The 21,689-nt window shown below is 42.6% G+C and overlaps 2 protein-coding genes across 2 annotated transcripts in view, besides 1 other annotated feature; both read left to right on the forward strand.

Moving 5' to 3' along the window:
- Positions 1 to 21,689, forward strand: part of C8orf44-SGK3 (C8orf44-SGK3 readthrough) — a 194,427-nt gene that overhangs the window by 42,214 nt on the left and 130,524 nt on the right. The window lies entirely within an intron of this gene.
- Positions 2,681 to 3,150: a silencer, noted in NCBI's record as "silent region_19255". NCBI's record gives its function as "represses an Ori minimal core promoter by ATAC-STARR-seq in GM12878 lymphoblastoid cells {active_cell/tissue: GM12878}" and the evidence as "EXISTENCE:reporter gene assay evidence [ECO:0000049][PMID:35858748]".
- Positions 2,972 to 21,689, forward strand: part of SGK3 (serum/glucocorticoid regulated kinase family member 3) — a 149,242-nt gene continuing 130,524 nt past the window's right edge. The window contains exon 1 of the mRNA NM_001033578.3: positions 2,972 to 3,024. The gene's annotated coding sequence lies outside the window, so the exon portion shown is untranslated. The remainder of the gene's footprint in view (positions 3,025 to 21,689) is intronic.

Here is a 21,689-nt window from a genome sequence, read left to right on the forward strand (position 1 = left end):
GTGCTCAGAGAAGTGAAACAATTTGCCCAAAGTAGGAAGTGGCAAACCAGGAGTTAAACCTGGGTCTGTCCAATTCCAAAGCTTGTGTTCAAAATCTCTACACTATAGATAAAACAGATGAACAAAATATTTGCTCTATCTGAATGAACAGAATCATATTTTCAAAGAAAGTATTGGGACCCATAGTCTGATAAAAAGCTCTATTTTTAAAATTTATTTACATGAAATATTTCATAAAGGTATAAACATCAGCTAGACATTTAGCTGAACATTCAACAACTTTTTTTTTTACAGTCTAAACTTGGAAACATAACAGAAAATGGGGATATAACCTATATCTCTATCAATAGGTGAACACAATTAATCAAAGTGATCAGCCTTAGCCAGGTGCGGTGGCTGAAGCCTGTAATCCCAGCACTTTGGGAGGCTGAAGCAGGTGGATCATTTGAGGTCAGGAGTTCAAGACCAGCCTGGCCAACATGGTGAAACCCTGTCTCTACTAAAAATACAAAAATTAGCCGGGCGTGGTGGCGCACACTTGTAATCCCAGCTACTGGGGAGGCTGAGGCAGGAGAATTGCTTGAGCCTGGGAGGCAGAGGTTGCGGTCAGCCGAGATCACGCCACTGCACTCCAGTCTGGGTGACAGAGTGAGACCCTGTCTCAAAAAAAAAAAAAAAAACCAAAACAACAACAACAACAACAACAAAGTGATCAGCCTTAAAATTTGCCCTTAAAACCAATTTTAGACTGGGCATGGTGGCTCACGCCTGTAATCCCAGCACTTTGGGAGGCCAAGGCGGGTGGCTCACCTGAGGTCAGGCGTTCAAGACCATCCTGGCCAACATGGCGAAAATCTGTCTCTACTAAAGATACAAAACATTAGCTGGGCGTGGTGGCAGGCACCTGTAATCACAGCTACTCGGGAGGCTGACGCAGGAGAATCGCTTGAAACCGGAAGTTGGAGGAGGTTGGAATGACCTGAGATTGTGCCATTGCACTCCAGCCTGGGCAACAAAAGTGAGACTCCATCTCAAAAAAAAAAAAAAAAAAAAAAACTAATTTAATTACAGTGAAAAAGTCCTTAGTAGTTTGTGAATATATTTACCTCCTCTAGCTTTTTGCAAAATCTAGCTATTAAATTGCAGCTCTCAGATTGTAAAGGCAAAATGCCTAACATGTTGTCTGTTGATCAAATGAACCCAGCCTGGGCAACACAGTGAGACCGTCTCGTCTCAAAAAAAAAAAGAAAATACATAAAATGTTTGTGGGAGGTGATCTCTGTGTGTGTGTGTGTGTGTGTGTGTGTGTGTGTGTGTGTGTGTGTTCTTCACAATAGGACAAATTTATCTAGAAATGTAATGGTTCCCAGATGTTTATTTTTTTAAAAAGTCAAGATGTGGTGATAGCCAGGTATTTGTCTCTAAAGTGAGAATGATGTTATTCCACTTGGAGTTTATTGACACAGAACTTCCTTTTGTCTGAGAAATCTTCAGCACTGTGAATATGGCTTTAATTAAGAGATACACTCATCACTTGTTGATTTTGTTACAAGGGAAGAACTCCTCTAATGTATGTGGATTGCTTTGTGGACCACAGTAAAACATATAAAGGACCACCGGCAATGTATTGTTTTGTATCTACTGCATTCTTATATTCATTTCTGAAAACTACTGTTTAGAAAGTTCTGTAGGATTACTGAAGTACAAAAAGTATTTGGATTCACAATCCACTTTTTAAAGAGAGGCCACATTGTGGTTATTGACATTAAAAATGAATGTCCTAACCCATACTTGTGGGGCTAAATCTTTGAATATCATTTTAAAACATGAGGAAATGTCTTCTGAATTTAGGGAAGTCACACATAGATCCCAGTTCCTCTAATAACCTTTGGCAGTTTATTTGTTCATAGATTTGTGGCAAATTCTCTGGAATCATATGATCTAAAGTACAAATCATTGTCTCAAAATCTAAGGCATGATATGCACATGGGAATCTTTAAGTACTTGTCTGAGTCTATCTTCAAGTGATATCTGATAAGACCTAAATTACAGTAGTGTTGTGGGACGAAGAAAACAACCCACTCTACTTCAAAATCTTAACCACTTGACTCCACATCCATTGAACCATGTAATTCTTAGTTCTCCACTCAGCTTCTCTATCTGTTAAAAGAGATAAACAGATCTAAAACGCAGCTTCTGTAATTCAAGAATGAGTAATAAGGAGCTGTAAAGTGTGCACTCAGCTGACTTGGAGATTAATGGGAATAAAAAAAAGAGTCAGTAGATCTAAAAAGATGTGTGGAAAGGAAATTTCTCTGCACACAGGATCTGCCAATTTGTGAAAGTTCTCGACTGTTTATAAACACAAGGGCCGTAACTCTGCTAATGACAAAAGTGGAAAACTGTCCAAATAATGCTAAATGAATCACAGTTGTTCTCAATTATTTGGATATTTAATTCACTCCTCTGAGTTTCCAGTTTACACCAAGCCAACCCCCCCAACACCACGGGCCCACCCGGGGGGTCCTGATCCCTGCACACACCAGGTCATCTCTGTTGGGCCCCGGCGCTCTGGCCCGCGCCGGTCTTGGGCCCCAGGGTAGCGGCCACTGCGGGCGGAGCAGAGGGAAACACCAGAGTCTGTGACTCCAGACAGGACCCACTGTGTCCTCTTGAACTTTGCACAGCGCGTGACGGGGGCAGACGGTGCACCGTGGCCCGGCCTTTCGCGGGGGTCCTCGGGGAAGAGAGAGGAGCGCGGGTTTCCTCGGAGGCCTGAGCGGGACGCAGCCTGCAGCCCCTCCCCGCACGGGCTGCCCCCGGCCCGCCGCTCGCGCCGCTCTGCTGGGATCCGGCGCCTTCCCCGGCTGTCCTCGGCCTCCCGCGCGCTCCGCGGGAGGAGCCGCCAGCGGCCGTGACGCGTCAAGGAGGAAACGCCGGCGCCCGGCGGCCCTGCCGGGAAGGAGGAAGCGCAGTGCGTTCGGCTCCGCGCCCGCCGCGCCGGGAGCAGCACCGCGGGGCCAGGTAGGTGCGGGGCCGGCGGGAGGGTCCGCGCGCCCGGGACTCCGACGGCGGCCCGGGGCGGGAGGAGACGGGGCGGGGCGAGGGCTGCCCGGGCCTCGGCCGCTGCCTGTCCTCGGAAAAAGCCGTACCTCCGCCCAGCCCCCGGCTCCCGGAGAGTTTGTGGTCTTTGTTTCCACGAGGTGAATTCAGATCCTGCCTCGAGATTCCTAAACGCCCAAGGGGCGTCGGTGGCTGGACCTTGTTAACCCCCACGCAGCCGCCGAGCCTGGAGGAACTGGGAACGCCGAGCAGGGAGACCCTATCTGAGGTCGAAAGTGGGTGCAGGTCACCTGCGAGGGTCGGGGAGGGGGCAGCCGCCAGAGTGGGGTGGATGGAATCGTTTAACCTGTTGTCAGCGGATCTGTAGTAAAAGACCTTAATACGTTGCGTCTTTTAAGTTCTCTGTAATTTGAACCCTTACGTCTCTTCAAGTGAATCTGGCCCTATTAATTCTCACAGTTTTAGCTTTGGAATGTACCCACAAGAAGTGCTTTGAGATTTTTAGATTCTGTCATTTTTAGTCATCGTTACTTGGAAAGAGAAAAGAGAAAGGAATCATCTCTTGAAACTTAAAACGCTTTCATTGAGTTGTGCACAGTGACTTCTGAACCATGAGTAGAATTTCAGTCCTGCACCAGAGACTACTTAGTGTGCACTTGGGTGCAAAATAAATACAGAGCACTGTAATTTCTAAATCTTTTGTCAAAGTGAAAAATAGACTGTTGTGTATTTTGATTCTCTCCCTTCTCACCAGATTGAGACTTCACCCAGCCAATCTGGGAGGTGCCTTTTTTTATTTACCAAACACTTACATAGCCCTTACTATGCGCTGGGCTCTTTCTAAGTTCTTTATAAATATTAAATCAAATTCTTAACTTATCATATTATAGCGGTTCTAGCAATGAAGAGGCTATCCATACTTTAGTTCCCCAAATGTCATTGGAAGAGCTGTAAACATTAGAGGAAGTTTTAGGCATGTTTTAGCACCGGGTGTGCCTTCTGGTCCCCTTGGCTACCACTTCTGTAAGACAAGCCACCACCCCAGCATTTCCCTGGGGTAAGGGAGCCTGGAGCTCCTGGGAATGCGACCTGTTCAAAGCAGATGTTGGCCAGAACCTGAATGACTTGTGTAACATGGTCTCTTTCAACTGCCGTTGTGCCCATCGGCTAACTCTGGAGACACCAGAACTTCCCCTTCTTTAACTGCCACTGCATGGAGCCTACTTTTGTTTTTGAAAAGAGCTTTGTTCCTGATCTGTTCGACACTGTTTATATGACATTATTTATATGACATAGTTTAGATATGAGGGTCAGATTGAACTTGAAATGTACTATAAAATAGAACATTTTTGTTTGCACACATCAACATAACAAATAACGTTTTGTAATTTTACTGCTATTTGCTCTTGGAAACATTGAATTGGTAGGTCAGCCTCATAGGTGTACCTTTTGTGATTTGCAGATATGCAGAGAATATTTTTTCAGAATAACATGCCCTCTTCAAATGTGCACCATTAGAGACCCAATGTGGTGACTAAGATAGACATGATTCTTGTTATTGTGACTATGAATGTAATGTCAAAATCTGCACATCAGACTAGCTTTCTGACTCCCTCACTCCCTTTCTGTGCCCCCCTCCCTTATCTCTCTCTCATATATTTAACTTTTCAGAGAGATGATTAAGTGAGCCGATAAGCCTTATTTAATAGGATTATGAAGTGTCTCTTGAAGCAAGAAGGCTCATGTTCCTCTGATATATTAATAATTTATGACACAACAGGCATTAGTGTCATTTGTGAATTCAGTTTAGTCGGATGACCCCTAGCATTTTCATGGCTTACAAAGTGCTTCCAGACATACTCCTTTACCTTTCAGAGAGATCTTGTATGGTTGATCTCTTAATTACTTTTTATTACCTGTTTTTACAGATGAAGAAACTGAGGCATGGAAATGTTAAAGTGCTTTAGCCTGGATTGCACAGCAGGTGAGAGGCAGAGCTTGAATGGAGGGCAGGTGTGTGGACAGTGCCTGGCACGTGCAGGCCTGTAATAAACATCTGTGGAATGAATGACTCCAAATGGCTTCAGATATCTTGCTCTTTCAAAACATGTCTCTCAAAATACCGTAGTAATTGATTTATGCCTGAGAGATTTCCAGGCCTAATCCAATGCCTCTCTCATTTCAGACAGTATCTAATACAGCACATTTTCTACAAAAAGGATGGGAATCCCTTTGGACTTATTTCTTAAGATTTGCCACCTCTGGTTTTTGAAAAAGAAAATAGGTTGGGTATTTTTTTCATCCTACCTTTTTTCTCTAGTTTTGAGAGTTTAGAACGGACACATGGTATTTATGTTTATGTTGACAGCTTGCTTTCTTTCTTTCTTTCTTTGTTTTTTTTTTGAGACAGAGTCTTGCTCTGTTGCCCAGGCTGGAGTGCAATGGCGCAGCCTAGGCTCACTGCAACCTCCGCCTCCCGGGTTCAAGCGATTCTCCTGCCTCAGCCTCCCGAGTAGCTGGGGCTACAGGTGCATGCCCCCATACCTGGCTAATTTTTGTGTTTTTAGTAGAGACAGGGTTTCACCATGTTGGCCAGGCTATTATCAAACCCCTGACATGATCAGCCTGCCTTGGCCTCCCAAAGTGTTGGGATTACAGGCGTGAGCCACCGTGCCTGGCCACAGCTTTCTTATCTTTCTAAACTACTTAGATTTATGATCAAGTTCAAACTCAATGATCATAGGTATTGTAAATATTTTTGAAATAAAACTATGTGTTTTATTGAAATGTTGCAATGAATTTAGCATAAAGGGTCTTTAAAAACACACACAAAATTCCTCAACTATTTATATGCTTTAAGTATAGCCCTTGGTACCTAAAGTATGTGATTTCCAGGTGGATAACCTTCAATTAGAGGGGATAATATGGCCATTACCTGGCAGGAGGAATTGAGAAGAGTTATCAGGGAGATATGAGAGATGGGATGGCCTTTCCCATGAGGTGTATTAGGCAGTAAGAAACCCTTAATGAAGCCAGACTGAGTCATCTGCCTGTCAACGTTCTTCTGTGTGGGAGTGGAATAAAATACCTTTGAAACCTGTCTTGTTTCAGAAACCACTTTACCTTTTCCAGTTCTCATGTTTTCTCTTTTTGAAAAAAATTAATGTAAATTACTGACTAAACTGCTGATTCATGAAACTCAACTTATGTAACATGTTATTCCTGACAGATGTAACAGCTCCCATATTATTTTAAGCGACTCAGTGTCTCTGTTTTCCTTTACCTTTTCCATTTCTCATGGTGGAGACTTTGCTCTCATTTCACTCTCCCCTGCCCAGTATCATGGAGAAAAGTGGTAAATCTAAGAGGTGCTACTTCCGCATCTTGTAGTTCACGTCAAAGTAGTTTTAACTCAATGCTAACTTTCAGTTGTCATTGCCGAGGAAGACAATGTGGAAATCAGATGTTGAAGGCCAATTCAAAGCGTCACCCAGTAAAATTGTATTGGCTGTCTGAAGCTGAGCTAGAGGGTTTTCAAAGGGAATTAGGGCAGTGTGCAGTATCCTTGCCTTTGGAGAAATAGTAAAGGACTTGAGAAATTGGACAAAGTCCTGAAAACCTGCCTAAGTTCACCTCCTGGTGGCCACTGTTCTTCTATTACGCTAAAGCAAAATCTGCTTTCTTTGGGCGGGGGGGTTGGGGGTGACTGAAAGAAACATGAAGATACAAGGGGAATTGTTAGAGGATGAGGGACTGATAATATGTAAGACGGAAAATGGAGATGTGTGTGAAGTAAGTGATGTTAGTGAGGTCTTGTGGCAGAGGATTCCTGTGCAGTGCAGCTGTGCTTCTCCTAACAGGGCCATACATATAGGAAAGACCTATATGAAATGAAAGTTTGAGAAGAACTAGAAACATCTCTTGGCATGATGTGATATTGGTGGGCAGAGTTACTTTGTACCATCAAGTGCAGAAGTGTTCTTGTAGGTAGCTTTCTTCAAGCCACTAAGCGAGCTTGTTGGCAGATAATTAAAATGTAGAGGCCAGGCACGGTGGCTCACACGAGTAATCCCAGCACTTTGGGAGGCCAAGGTGGGCAGATCACCTGAGTTCAGGAGTTCGAGACCAGCCTGGCCAACACGGCGAAACCCTGTCTCTACTAAAAAAAAAAAAAATACATAAATTAGCTGGGCATGGTGGTGCATGCCTGTAAGCCCAGCTACTTGGGAGGCTGAGGCAGGAGAACCTCTTGAACTCAGGAGGTAGAGGTTTCAGTGAGCCAAGATCGTGCCATTGCACTCTAGCCTGGGCAACAAGAGTGAAACTCTTTATCTGAAAAAAAAAAACAAAAAAAACAAAAAAAACAAAAAAAAAACGCTGGGCTTGGTGGCTCACGCCTATAATCCCAGCATTTTGGGAGGCTGAGGCTGGTGGATCACCTGAGGTCAGGAGTTTGAGACCAGCCTAGCCAACATGGAGAAACCCCATCTCTACTAAAAATACAAAATTAGCTGGGGATGGTGGCGCATGCCTGTAATCCCAGCTACTGGGGAGGCTGAGGCAGGAGAATGGCTTGAACCCAGGAGGCAGAGGTTGCAGTGAGCGAGATCGCACCACTGTGCTCCAGACTGGGCAACAGAGTGAGACTCCTTCTCAAAAAAAAAGAAAAGAAAACTGGATTTCATATGTAATATATTCATATACAAAAGTAGGACTCACTGATTAGCCAGTCTACAGACTGCTGAATGAAACGTATTCAAGGACAGTGGTGCTTCATAAGTTTGAAAATGAGAAGGAACTTTACTATTCTAGTTCTGTTTTTAATTAATTATTATTATTATTATTATTTGAGACAGAATCTCGCTGTCTTGCCCGGGCTGGAGTGCAGTGGCATGATCTCAGCTCACTGCAACTTCCACCTCCCAGGTTCAAGCGATTCTCGTGCTTCAGCCTTCTGAGAAGCTGGGTCTACAGTTGTGCACCACCATGCCCAGCTGATTTTGTATTTTTGGTAGAGATGGGTTTCACTGTATTGGCCAGGCAGGTCTCGAACTCCTGGCCTCAGTTATCCACCCGCCTTGGCCTCCCAAAGTGCTGGGATTACAGGCGTGAGCCACTGCGCCCGGCCTACTCTAGTTATTTACCTCCCTATTTTTTTTTTCTTTTTTTTTGACATGGAGTCTCAGTCTGTCACCCAGGCTGGAGTGCAATGGCATGATCTCGGCTCACTACAACCTCCGCCTTTGGGGTTCAAGCGATTCTCCTGCCTCAGCCTCCGAAGTAGCTGGGACTACAGGCGCCTACCACCATATCTGGCTAATTTTGTATTTTTAGTAGAAACAGGGTTTCACCATGTTGGCCAGGCTGGTCTCAAACTCCTGACCTCAAGTGATCTGCCCACATCGGCCTCCCAAAGTGCTGGGATTACAGGCATGACTCACCGCTCCCAGCCTACCTCCCTATTTTCTAACCAAAAATAGATAGAGGTTAACTTAAAAAGATTCAATTTCCAACTCAGCATCTATACATGCAGATAAATATATATATGTGTATATATATACACACATATATATATTATGTGTGTGTGTGTGTGTGTGTGTGTATGACCAGTATATAGTCTATAGAATCTAATGCACACGTATGTAGTTTTTGTTTTGTTTCGTTTGTTTTTTTTGAGACAAACTCTCACTGTGTTGCTCCCACTGGAGTGCAGTGGCACGATTTTGGCTCACTGCAACCTCTGCCTCCCAGGTTCAAGTGATTCTCCTCCCTCAGCCTCCTGAGTAGCTGGGATTACAGATGTGTGCCACCACGCCCAGCTAATTTTGTATTTTTAGTTGAGACAGGGTTTCTCCAGGTTGGTCAGGATGGTCTCAAACTCCCGACCTCAGATAATCCGCCCACCTCAGCTTCCCAAAGTGCTGGAATTACAGGTGTGTGCCACCGTGCCCGGCCACATGTATGTTTTATATATGACCAGCTCAAAGAGAATTTTGGAATCATATTCTTAGTTTTCCGAGAAAATGCATGCATCTTTCCCCCCCGTTTTAATTTTAGTTTTGTCTTCCATTTTCTAAATTTTAAATTGTAAAGGTATACAAGGCTGAGGTGGGAGGATTGCTTGAGCACAGGAATTCAGTGTTACAGTGAGCTATGATTGTGCCACTGCACTCCAGCCTAGGTGACAGATTGAGACCCTATCCCCCCCAATAAAAAAGTATGTATGCTCTTAAATTCAAGCAATTGAGAAGCATATGTAATAAAAAAATACATCCTCTCCACTCTAATTTTATCTACAGAGATTACTGCTACTGCTGCTGTTTTTATACCCTTCTAAACTTTTTTCATGCTTACATAAATTTGTGTATCTATATATGTACACAAGAGTTTTTTTTTTTAAATGGGGATTGTTTTACACAATTTGTTGTTTTGTTTTTTCTTTTATTTGTTTGTTTGTTTGTTTGTTTATCTTGTGACAGGGTTTTAGTCTATCTCCCAGGCTGGAATGCAGTGGCACGACTGTGACTCACTGCAGTTTCGACCTCTAGGGTTCAAGCAATCCTCCTGCCTTGGCCTCCTGAGTACTGGTATGTGCCACCATACCCAGCTAATTCTTTTTAATTTTTAATAGAGACAAGGTCTTACTATATTGCCCAGACTGGTCTCGAACCCCTGGACTCAAGTAATCCTCCTGCCTCTGCCTCCCAAAGTGCTGGAATTGCAGATGTCAGCCACTGTGCTGTGCCCATCCTGTTTCTTATTTAACACTATATATAGACATCTATAGATCTATATCGTTAGTTTTGATAGCTGCATAGTATTCCGCTTTATAATTGATTATCAATTTTCTGTTATTTCTGTTGCTGACATATATACCATTTTGAGTCTTTTAAAATATATTTAAATCACCAAAGTAATACTTTTTTGGACAAATAAAAGAAGAAATAGAGAAAATAAGAATTACCAGTAAATCTATCGCTCATTGGCAAGCGGCTATTAGCATTTTGGAGTATATCCTTCTAGGCTTTTATTTGTGTGTGCATGTGCATATCTTCAATGCCATTTTTAAAAGTTTCTCTTATACAGGCTTGCTTTGTTGGTTAGAGAATCACACTTACGTAGCCAGCCAACGTCACAGATTCCATGCACCTTTGAACCAGTTATTTTACTGTTTCCTGGCCACCTGCCATGCCCCAGCCCTGGCTAACACTCTTGGAAATTTATACTACCGCTCATAAAGGGAATGAGGGTGTGTGGATAGACTGACAAATCCATCCAAATTAACATAAAGCGCATGTTCTTCTAATGAGAGTCCGTCAATATTCGTATTATAAGTTCATCTAAGATACAAGATATTTAAGAAGAGAAATGATAGGATGTTCACATGTAATTGATTGTAATCACTAAAGGAGAAGCAGAAATAATTGACTTGAACCAAGGAAAAAGTGGCTGTTCTAAATTTCAGTTAGGAATTAGAACAGCTGGCATGGTAGCTCATGCCCGTAACCCCAGCACTTTTAGAGGTTGAGGTGGGCAGATCGCTTGAGCTCAGGAGTTTGAGACTGACCTGGGCAACATGGTGAAACCTAGTCTCTACAAAAAATATAAAAAATTGGGCCAGGCGCAGTGGCTCACGCCTGTAATCCCAGCATTTTGGGAGGCCAAGGCGGGTGGATCACCTGAGGTTAGGAGTTTGAGACCAGCCTGGCCAACATGGTGAAACCCTTTCTCTACTAAAAATATAAAAATTAGCTGGACATAGTGGTGGGTGCCTGTAATCCCAGCTTCTTGGGAGGCTGAGGCAAGAGAATTGCTTGAACCCGGGAGGTGGAGGTTGCAGTGAGCCAAGATCGCACCACTGCACTCCAGCCTGGGTGACAAGAGCAAAACTCTGTCTCAAAAAAAAAATTATATATATATATAATTAGCCAGGTGTGGTGGCACACACCTGTGGCCCCAGCTACTGGGAAGGCTAAGGTGGGAGGATTGCTTGAGCTGCAGAGGCGGAGGTTTCAGTGAGCTGGGATCATGTCACTGCACTCCAGCTTGGGTGACAGAGTGAGACCCTGTCTCACAAACAAAACAAACAAAAAAGAAATTAGAACAGTTGAACTGGAGATGTTTTGAAATACTCGTCTAATAATGAGTACATTGTTTACAGTATAATTGGTTTAAACAGCACCGCCACCAATGGTGGGAATAGGTGACCTTGAAGTTTCTTGTGATCCTATCATAGGCTGTCTCAGAGTCAGTAACACTTGACTTAGTATAATTTCATGCACACAGCTCCCTCTTCACATACTAAAGCCACCAGTCTTTCCAGATAGCATCGGTCTGTGCTGACATCTCTCCATCCATCCCCTTTTCTTCCCCCAAGGTGTGAGTACACAATCTACAACACACAGTGTATAGCAGGTGTGGGCTCCTGCACCCTTTGTGGCCTCCCCTGCTCTCTGAGAGTTTGCTCTCCTTTATAAACCTTGTTCTTTTTTTCTCTTCTTCCACCTCTTGCATTAAGAAAAGTTCTGTCTTTTCTCTATCCCACTCTCTTCATGTTGGTCTTAAGCAAAATGGATACTAATCATGGTAATACATTTAAGAGCAGGCCTTTAAGAAGGAAAAGGAAAGCTTTTAGTTTGGGAAGAAACATAGACATTATAAAGAACTAGTGGTTTCAACCTTTGAAGCCCTTGAGAATACCTAGTAATTCCTTTCAAAATATCCACAGAAGTCCACACCCACCTCCTCTTCTCTAAATAAGCTCTTTTTCCTTAAGCATTGGCATGAACTATAAAATTTAAAGCTATTTATAATTTTTTTTTTTTTGCTCATGTCATTGCAACAGCATTGTTTTGTGCTATTTTTTTTTCCCAGTTAAAGATGACAGTCATGTTATGGGTTGAATAGAATGTTTTGGTCTTGAAAGCTAACTCTCAGATATGACCACTGTTCCTTTTAGAAAATATATGCAAAGTTCTATCAGGCTTTAAAATAACCTTTTTGTTTTCAAGTAAGTTAAAGACTAAGAAGGGTATCTTGGGCCAAAGGTTAGCAATCTTTGAGAAGTGGTATGTCAGGATTCCCAACCACTTCCTTCCAGATTTGTATCAGTAGAGATATACACTGGTGAAAGCTTGGATCAGATCCTTGGGACTTACAGAAGAAGCAATACTGGTTCAGGAATGCTAGGTCCCTGCTGGAGACTCTTACAAGAGTTAGGGATAGAGGATCAGGCCCTGGAAACTGACTGCATACCAACTTCAGCTCGCCTGTAAAGGTGCGTGGGCCAGATGGTATAGGAAGCTCTGCGCCGAGACAATAGCTACTTAAGCTGCACTGAGAGTAAAGGCTTATTTTCTCATAAACATTATTGGAAAAGCTTTTGTAAGGATGTTTTTGTTTTTGTTTTTCTTGTTTTTTGTTTTCTTGAGATGAAGTCTCACTCTGTCACAGAGGCTGGAGTGCAGCGGCGCGATCTTGGCTCACTGCAACCTCTACCTCCCAAGTTCAAGCGGTTCTCCTGCCTTAGCCTCCCAGGTAGCTGGGACTACAGGCATTTGCCACCACGCCTGGCTAATTTTTGTATTTTTAGTAGAGATGGGGTTTCACCAGGATGGTCTCGATCTGCTGACCTCGTGATCCGCCCACCTTGGCCTCCCAAATTGCTGGGATTACAGGCGTGAGCCGCCGTGCCCAGCCTCTGCAAAGATGTTTTTATTCAGCCTCCCAACAACATGGTGCTAAAATTGATGATGGCTTAGACGCGAAAGTGCTATATCATTTACCTATTTAAACTGGTACTGTATTAGGTCGTTCTTGCATTGCTATAAAAAAATACCTGAGACTGAGTAATTTATAAGAAAAGAGGTTTAATTGGCCCATGGTTCTGCAGGCTGTACAGGAAGCATCTGCTTCTGGGGAGGCCCCAGGAAGCTTGCAATCATTGCAGAACATGAAGGGGGAATAGGGACATCACGTGGCGAAAACAGGAGCAAGAGCAAGAGTGGTGAGGTGAAGGTGCCACACACTTTTAAATAATTCACTGTGGTGAAGACAGCACCAAGCCATGAGGGATCTGCCCCATGATCCAAACACCTTTCACCAGACTCCATCTCCACCATTGGAGATTACAGTTCAACATGAGATTTGGGCAGAAACAAATATCCAAACTATATCAGGTACCATTGTTAATAAACATTCAGAAGTAAGATTTTGTTCATATATATATATATATATATATATATATATATATATATATATTTTTTTTTTTTTTTTTTTTTGTAAAAGGGTCGGCTGGGCACAGCGACTTACGCCTGTAATCCCAGCACTTTGGGAGGCTGAGGCGGGTGGATCACCTGAGGTTGGGAGTTCGAGACCAGCCTGACAGGTGAAATGCTGTCTCTACTAAAAATACAAAAAAATTTAGCCAGGCATGGTGGCTCATGCCTGTAATCCCAGCTACTCAGGAGGTTGAGGCAGGAGAATCGCTTGAACCCGGGAGGCAGAGGTTGTGGTGAGCCAAGATCACGCCATTGCACTCCAGCCTGGGCAACAAGAGTGAAACTCCGTCTCAGAAAGAAAAGAAAAAAGAAAAAAGGTCTTCCTCTGTCACGTAAGCTGGAGTGCAGTGGTGCAATCTTAACACACTGCAGCCTCAACCTCCCAGGCTCAAGCAATCCTCCCACCCCAGCCTCCCAAGTAGCTGGGAATACAGGCATGTACCACCACATCCAGCTAATTTTGTTTATTTTTTGTAGAGATGGGATCTCACCATGTTGCCCAGGCTGCTCTCAAACTCCTGGGCTCAAGTGTACCCACATCCTTAGCCACCCAATGTGCTGGGATTATAGGCATGAACCACTTTGCCCAACTGTTATAATTTGTTAAAAATAGCTCTCATGTTTTGTAATTCTACATGTCTGTAGTTGTACACAGTTGACAATTTAGTCCATTCTGACACAAGTACCTTTCTCTCATTTCTAATTGATCTCTTTTTATCCCCCTCTCTCTTCTCACCAATATTTGGTTTAATTTTTTGTGTATCTGTAAGGAGATTTTTTTACTGATGAAAGACAAGATAGTCCAATGTTTTAGCAGAGAAAAGTTTTTAAGATTTATTAGACTGCACCCCCTTTTCCCTTTGAACTTTGTCTTCCCTTTATATTTCTATTATTTCTGACTTTTGCTAACATTAACATAATTTATTTCTAGTCTTCCTTTTAATTTTTTTATTAGGACTACAGGCTCATGCCACCATGCCCAGCTATTTTTAAATATTTTTTCTAGAGACAGGGTCTAGTGAGGATCCTGTTGCCCAGGCTAGTCTCAAACTCCTGGCCTCAAGCTATCCTCCTGCCTCAGCTTCCCAAAACACTGGGATTACAGGCGTGAGCCTCCATACCCAGCCTATTTCTCCTTTTAAAAGTCCACTAAGGCTGGGCGCGGCGGCTCACGCCTGTAATCCCAGCACTTTGGGAGGCTGATCATAAGGTCAGGAGTTTGAGACCAGCCTGGCCAATATGGTAAAACCTCGTCTCTACTAAAAATACAAAAATTAGCCAGGTGTGGTGGCGGACACCTGTAGTCCCAGCTACTTGGGAGGCTGAGGCAGGAAAATTGCTTGAACCTGGAAGGTGGAGGTTGCAGTGAGCTGAGATCGCACCACTGCATTCCAGCCTGGGTGACAGAGCAATACTCTGTCTCAAGAAAATAAATAAAAACTAATAAAAAATAAAAATAAAGTCCACTGAAGTGTAAACTAAAGTCTTTGTCCCACTGAAATTATTTATTGCTTTCACTGGACATGTTAGGATTAAAAATTTGCCTGTGAGATGCAGAACATTGTGTATAAAATGCTACCTTTTGTGTAGAAAGACCAGGAAAAAATAAGATTATGTTTTGCTTGACTACATGTAAAGGGACTCTGGAAGGACACATAAGAAATTGGCATTTTGGTTTGGCATGGTGGCTCACGCCTGGGAGGCCAAGGCAGGTGGATCACCTGAAGTCAGAGGTTCGAGTCCAGCCTGGCCAATATGACGAAACCCCGTCTCTACTAAAAATACAAAAATTGGCTGGGCACGGTGGCTCACACCTGTAATCCTAGCACTTTGGGAGGCCGAGGCGGGCGGATCACAAGGTCAGGAGATCGAGACCATCCTGGCTAACATGGTGAAACCCCATCTCTACTAAAAATACAAAAATTAGCTGGGTGTGGTGGCGGGCATCTGTATGTAGTCCCAGCTACTCAGGAGGGTGAGGCAGGAGAATGGCGTGAACCCAGGAGGCGGAGCTTGCAGTGAGCCGAGATCGTGACACTGCACTCCAGCCTGGGCGACAGAGTGAGACTCCGTCTCAAAAACAAAACAAAACAAAAAAATTAACTGGGCACAGTGGTGGGCGCCTGTAATCCCAGCTACTTGGGAGGCTGAGGCAGGGAGAATTGCTTGATCCCAGGAGATGGAGGTTGTAGTGAGCCGAGATGGTGCCACTGCACCCTAGCCTTGGGTGACAGAGTAAGAGTGTCTCAGAAAAAAAAAAAAGACAGTGTTTATCTCTTTGGGGTAGGGGATGAGAACTGGGTGGATAGGGATGGGTGGGAAGCCGACTTCTCACTATTTTTTTTTTTAACCCTGTGAATATGTAACCCATTGTTAAAATAATGTTTAAAATCATGTCCCGGAGTTTCCTGACTTAAAAAATAGATCTATATATATCTAGCGTTCTTTTTCCATATAAAGTCATTAGTAAAGTTGTGTTTTAATTTTTTTTTTTTAAGAATGCATGTATAGTCTAGTCTCAAAGGACCAGTAGTAATTTGCAGGTGCCTTGCCATGGCTTTGTTCTCCTTCAGCACTCTCAAATGCTGTGACTAAGATTCATTATGAAGCCTTCCATTAGGAAATTCTCATACTGCAAATACAGCCAAACCTTAAATTATTGCTGGCTTATTGGAAGAACCATTTAATTGAAGTTATCTGCGGTATTTTGCCAACTGGATACTCAGTTGTTTCCTAATAAAAACTCTTAGATAATACCATTGCAATTACTGCAACATCAGTTTATCTTCTCCCCATGATATCTTGTATCTTATCATCATGGTTATAATTTACCTACTTAAGATGATATGAGTTTGGTGCTTTTAGAAAATAAAGGTTGGTTTACTTTTAGTATTTAGATAATTGCGCCCTTTTCAAGTTGTACACGCTAAGCCAAATATTTTCTTTCATCAGGATTTTTGTAGTTTTTATCATGTATGACCTGTATTTTACCTCTCAGAGAACAAAGAAAAAGACACTAATATTTATTGAGTTTCTTCCGTATGCTGGGTGCTTTAGAGACATTATTTTCTTAAATACTCATAATAACGCTGTGGGATGGGTAGGTCGTTTTATTTTGTAGATGAGTCACTTGAGCATAGTGAGGTTTCCAAGGTTGCTGTTTGTGGCAACACGAGGCAGAGCTGACCTGAATAGGTCTCTCTGGCTTTACCATGAGGTTCCCCGGTGTTAACTGATAAGGGGGTAAAAGCTGACTCCTCTCAAAGCCCCTCATCCGAAAGAACAGGCAGAATTTATTAACAAATAACCCATAGTACCATCTGCTGATGAGGCAGTGGTTAAATGAGCTTGAAAATGGGCTTTCATTTTTACTTTATCATTGTGAAATCATATTAATGTTTTAATCTAGAAACTTGTGCCAGATTTCAAGAAGAAAGCTGATTAAAATGTTTTAAATATGTATTTTATACCTAATAGAAAAAGACTAAATATTTTACATTTAGCTGGGTGTGGTGACATGTGACTGTAGCCCCAACAATTTGGAAAGCTGAGGCGGGAGGATCGCTTGAGCTCAGGAGTTTGAGGTTACAGTGAGCCATGATTGCTCTGCTGCACTCCAGCCTGAATGACAGAGCAAGACCCTGTCTGTAAAAAAAAAAAAAAAAAAAAAAGATTTAAAAGCTGATTGTGTTAAATCCTGAACCTATAGAATTTGAATATCTTATGCTGTTATCTGCAGAACTGTCAAACTCTTGCTATTAGTAACCAATGTCCAGTGAACTTTACCAGTGATAACAAGTACTGTTGTCATATTCTAAAACCTAACAATGATAACCAGTACCACTTATATTAATCCATGGAAATAGAGCAATAATTTTGTTGATTTTTGTTGCATGTTAGCTAAGTTCCTATTAACCAAGTAAAGATGATAGAACATGTTAGATCTGAATTCCTTTTTGTTTTTTTTGAGACAGGGTCTTCCTCTGTTGCCCAGGATGGAGTGCAGTGGTTCAATCTCAGCTCACTGCAGCCTCGATCTCCTAGGCTCAAGTGACCCTCCCACCTAAGCCTCCGGAGTAGCTGGGACTACAGGTGCACACCACCTGGCTAATTTTTGTATTTTTTGTAGACACAGGGTTTTGCTGTGTTACTCAGGCTGGTCTTGAATTCCTGGGCCCAAGTGATCCACCCACCTTGGCCTCCCAAAGTGCTGGGATTCTAGGCATGAGCCACCATGAGCCAGGTCTGAATTCTTGTATACTACATTATCCTATGATTCTCTTATTTAATAAAAAGTATCATGATCCTGGGCAAAGATGGTGGTATGGTCTGGATGTGTCTCCCACAGTGCATGTGTTGGAAACTTAATCCCCAATACAACAGCATTGGGAGGTGGGGCCTTTTGGGAGGTGTTTAGCTCACCAGGGCTCTGCCTTCGTAAATGGATGAATGCTGTCATGAAAGTGGGAGTGGTTTTGTCCTCTCTTGCTTTCTGCCGTATGAGGACACAGAGTTTGTCCTTTTTGCCCTTTCTACCTTCCTCCATTCAAGGACACAGCAAGAGGCCCTCAACAGGTGCTGACACCTTGATCTTGGACTTTCCAGCCTCTAGAACTGTGAGACATAAATTTCTGTTCTTTATAAATTACCCAGTGTCAGGTATTCTGTTATAGCAGCACAAATGGACTAAGACAGATGGTGAGAAAGACGCTGAGAAAATTCAAATGACTGGAAAAGTTTAAAAAGAAGTAAAAAGTCACAAATAGTAAATGGAGAAGACAGAATAAACCCACAGCATACACTAGAGTAATTTACACTTAACACTTAAAAATAACAGCTTTATTGAGATATAATTCATATACCATTAAAGTTGCTTTTTAAACCACAATTCAGTGGTTTAGTCACAGAGCTATGCAGCCATCACCACTATCTAATTCCAGAACTTTCATCATCCCCAAAAGAAACTCTGGACCCACTGTCCAGTGACTCCCATCTCTCCTTCCAGCCAGCCCCAAGTAATGACAAATTACTTTCTTTCTCTGCAGATTCACCTAGTCTGGACATTTTATTTAAAAAATGTGATCATACAATATATGATCTTTTGTGAGTGGCTTCTTTCACTTAGTATAATGTTTTCAATGCTTATCCATGTTGTAGCATGTGGTACTTCATTTCTTTTTTTTTTTTTTCCAAGATGGAGTTTCACTTTTGTCACCCAGGCTGGAGTGCAATGGCGAAATCTCAGCTCACTACAATCTCCACCTCCCGGGTTCAAGCATTTCTCCTGCCTCAGCCTTCCAAGTCACTGGGATTATAGGTACCCACCATCACGCCCAGCTAATTTTTGTATTTTTAGTAGAGACAGGGTTTCACCATGTTGGCCAGGTTGGTCTCGAACTCCTGACCTCAGATGATCCGTCCACCTTGGCCTCCAAAAGTGCTGGGATTACAGGTGTGAGCCACTGCTCCCAGCCATTTCTTTATATTGGTGAAAAATATCCTGCTGTTGGGATGCCAAGGTGGGAGGATTGCTTGAGGCTAGCTGTTCAAGACAAGCCTGGGCAATAGAGTGAGACCCCACCTCAACAACAACAAGAACAGCAACAATAAATAAATAAATAGCTGGGTGTGGTGGTGTGTACCTATAGTCCTAGCTACTCAGGAGGCTGAAGTGGGAGGATTGCTTGGGTCTAGGAGTTCACCCAGTGAACTATGATCACACCACTGCACTCCAGCCTGGGCAACAGAGCGAAACTCTGCCTCTTAAAAAAAAAAAAAAATCTGGACTGGGCACGGGTGGCTCATGCCTGTAATCCCAGCACTTTGGGAGGCTGAGGCGGGCGGATCACAAGGTCAGGAGATGGAGACCATCCTGGCTAAGACAGTGAAACCCTGTCTGTACTAAAAATACAAAAAATTAGCTGGGCGTGGTGGTGGGCACCTGTAGTCCCAGCTACTTGGGAGGCTGAGGCAGGAGAATGGAATGAACCCAGGAGGCGGAGCTTGCAGTGAGCCGAGATCGCGCCTCTGCACTCCTCTCACGCCTGTAATCCCAGCACTTTGGGAGGCCGAGGCAGGCGGATCACGAGGTCAGGAGATCGAGACCATCCTGGCTAACACGGTGAAACCCTGTCTCTACTAAAAATACAAAAAATTAGCCAGGCGTGGTGGCGGGCGCCTGTAGTCCCAGCTACTCGGGAGGCTGAGGCACGAGAATGGCGTGAACCAGGGAGGTGGAGCTTGCAGTGAGCCGAGATCGCGCCACTGCACTCCAGTCTGGGCGACAGAGCGAGACTCCATCTCAAAGAAAAGAAAAAAGAAAAAAAAAAATCCTGTTGTATGAATATACCATATTTTGCTTATTCATTCATCTATTGATTGATGTTTGGGTTGTTTTCACCTTTTGGCTATTACATATAATACTGCTATGAATATTTTTGAGTATTTATATGAACATATATGTTTTAATTTCCCTTAGATGTATACCTAGGAGCAGAAGTGCTGGGTCATATGGTAACTCTTGTTTAACTTTTTGAGGAGTTGCCAGACTGTTTTCTAGAATGCCTACATTTATTTATTTATTTTTATTTATTTATTTATTTATTTATTGAGACAGAGTTTCACTCCTGTCACCCAGGCTGGAGTACAGTGGCGCGATCTTGGCTCACTGCAACTTCCACCTCCCGGATTCAAGTGATTCTTCTGCCTCGGCCTTCTGAGTAGCTGGGATTACTGGTGTGCACCACCACACCCAGCTAATTTTTTATATTTTTAGTGGAGATGGGGTTTCACCATGTTGGCCAGTCTTCAAACTCTCGACCTCAGGTGATCCACCTGCCTTGACCTCTCTAAGTGTTAGGATTACACCAGCCACCCAGCACTTTGCGTGAGCCACCGTGCCCAGCCCTACCTTATTTTACAATCTCACCAGTAATGTATGAAGTTTCACATTTCTCTACATCCTCACCAACACTTTTCTTTCTTTCTATTTTAGCCATTTCAGTGCATGTAAAATGATATTTCATTGTAGTTTTGATTTGCATTTTCTGAAAGTCTATTGATGTTGAGCATGTTTTCAGGTACCCATTGGCCAACTGTGTATCTTCTCTACAGAAATGTCTATTCAGATTCTTTCCTTATTAAAAAAAATTTGGTTCTTTTATTGAATTATATGAATTATTTACATATTCTGAATATATGTCCCTTATGAGAGATATAATTTACAAATTTTTTTTATTCTATGGGTTTTCCTTTCACTTTCTTGATTTCCTTGGAGCACAAAAGTTTTAATTTTTAATGAAACCCATTTACTCGGTTTTTTTCTTTGTTGCTTGTGCTTTTGGTGTCACATCATCTAAGAAATTATTAACTCAAGGTCACAGAAATTTACTCCTATGCTGTCTTCTAAGAGCTTCATAGTTCTAGGTCTTTCTTTTAGATCTGTGATCTGTTTTGAGTTAATTTTTGTTTATGGTGTGAGGTAGGGGTCCAACTTCATTCTTTTGCATGTGTATATCCAGTTGTCTCAGCACTGTTTTTTGTTTGTTTGTTTGTTTTGAGACAGTCTCGCTCTGGAGTGCAGTGGTGCGGTCTCAGCTCACTGCAGCCTCCCCCTCCCATGTTCAAGCAATTCTCCTGCCTCAGCCTCTAGAGTAGCTGGGATTGCAGGTGCCCACCACCAAGCCTGGCTAATTTTTTTTTTTTTTGTATTTTTGGTAGAGATGGGGTTTTGCCATATTGGCCAGGCTGGTCTCCAACTCCTGACCTCAGGTGATCTGCCCGCCCCAGTCTCCCAAAGTGCTGGGGTTACAGGCGTGAGCCACCACACCTGGCCAAAAGTATTTTTTAATTTTCTTTGTGATTTCCTCATTAACCCATTGATTACTTAAAAGTATATTGTTTAATTTCCACATATTTGTGAATTTACCAGATTTCCTTTGTTATCCGCTTTCTAATTTAATTACATTTTTGTCAGAGAACACACTTTGTATGATTTTTGTACTTTTTAATTTAATGAGGACTTCTGAGGACTTCTTATGGGATAATATGTGGACTATCTTGGAGAATGTTTCATGTGTATGTTAGAAGAATATGTATTCTGCTGCTTTAGGTGGAATGTTCTATAGATGTCTATTAGGTTTAGTTGGTTTATAGTGTTGTTCATATCTTTTTCCTTGTTGATCTTCTGTCTAGTTATTCTCCTAAATACTTTTCAAAGCACTATTTTAATGTTTCATATTAGAATAAATATGAAAATTCGTTACCAAGATAAAAGGCTCAAATGGAAACGTGTTATTTTAGTGGGCTATTCAAACCAAATTAAATTTGAAAATTATTTACTTTCTT

The sequence above is a fragment of the Homo sapiens genome, chromosome 8 (genome assembly GCF_000001405.40).
Source record: "Homo sapiens chromosome 8, GRCh38.p14 Primary Assembly".
Classification (NCBI taxonomy): domain Eukaryota; kingdom Metazoa; phylum Chordata; class Mammalia; order Primates; family Hominidae; genus Homo; species Homo sapiens.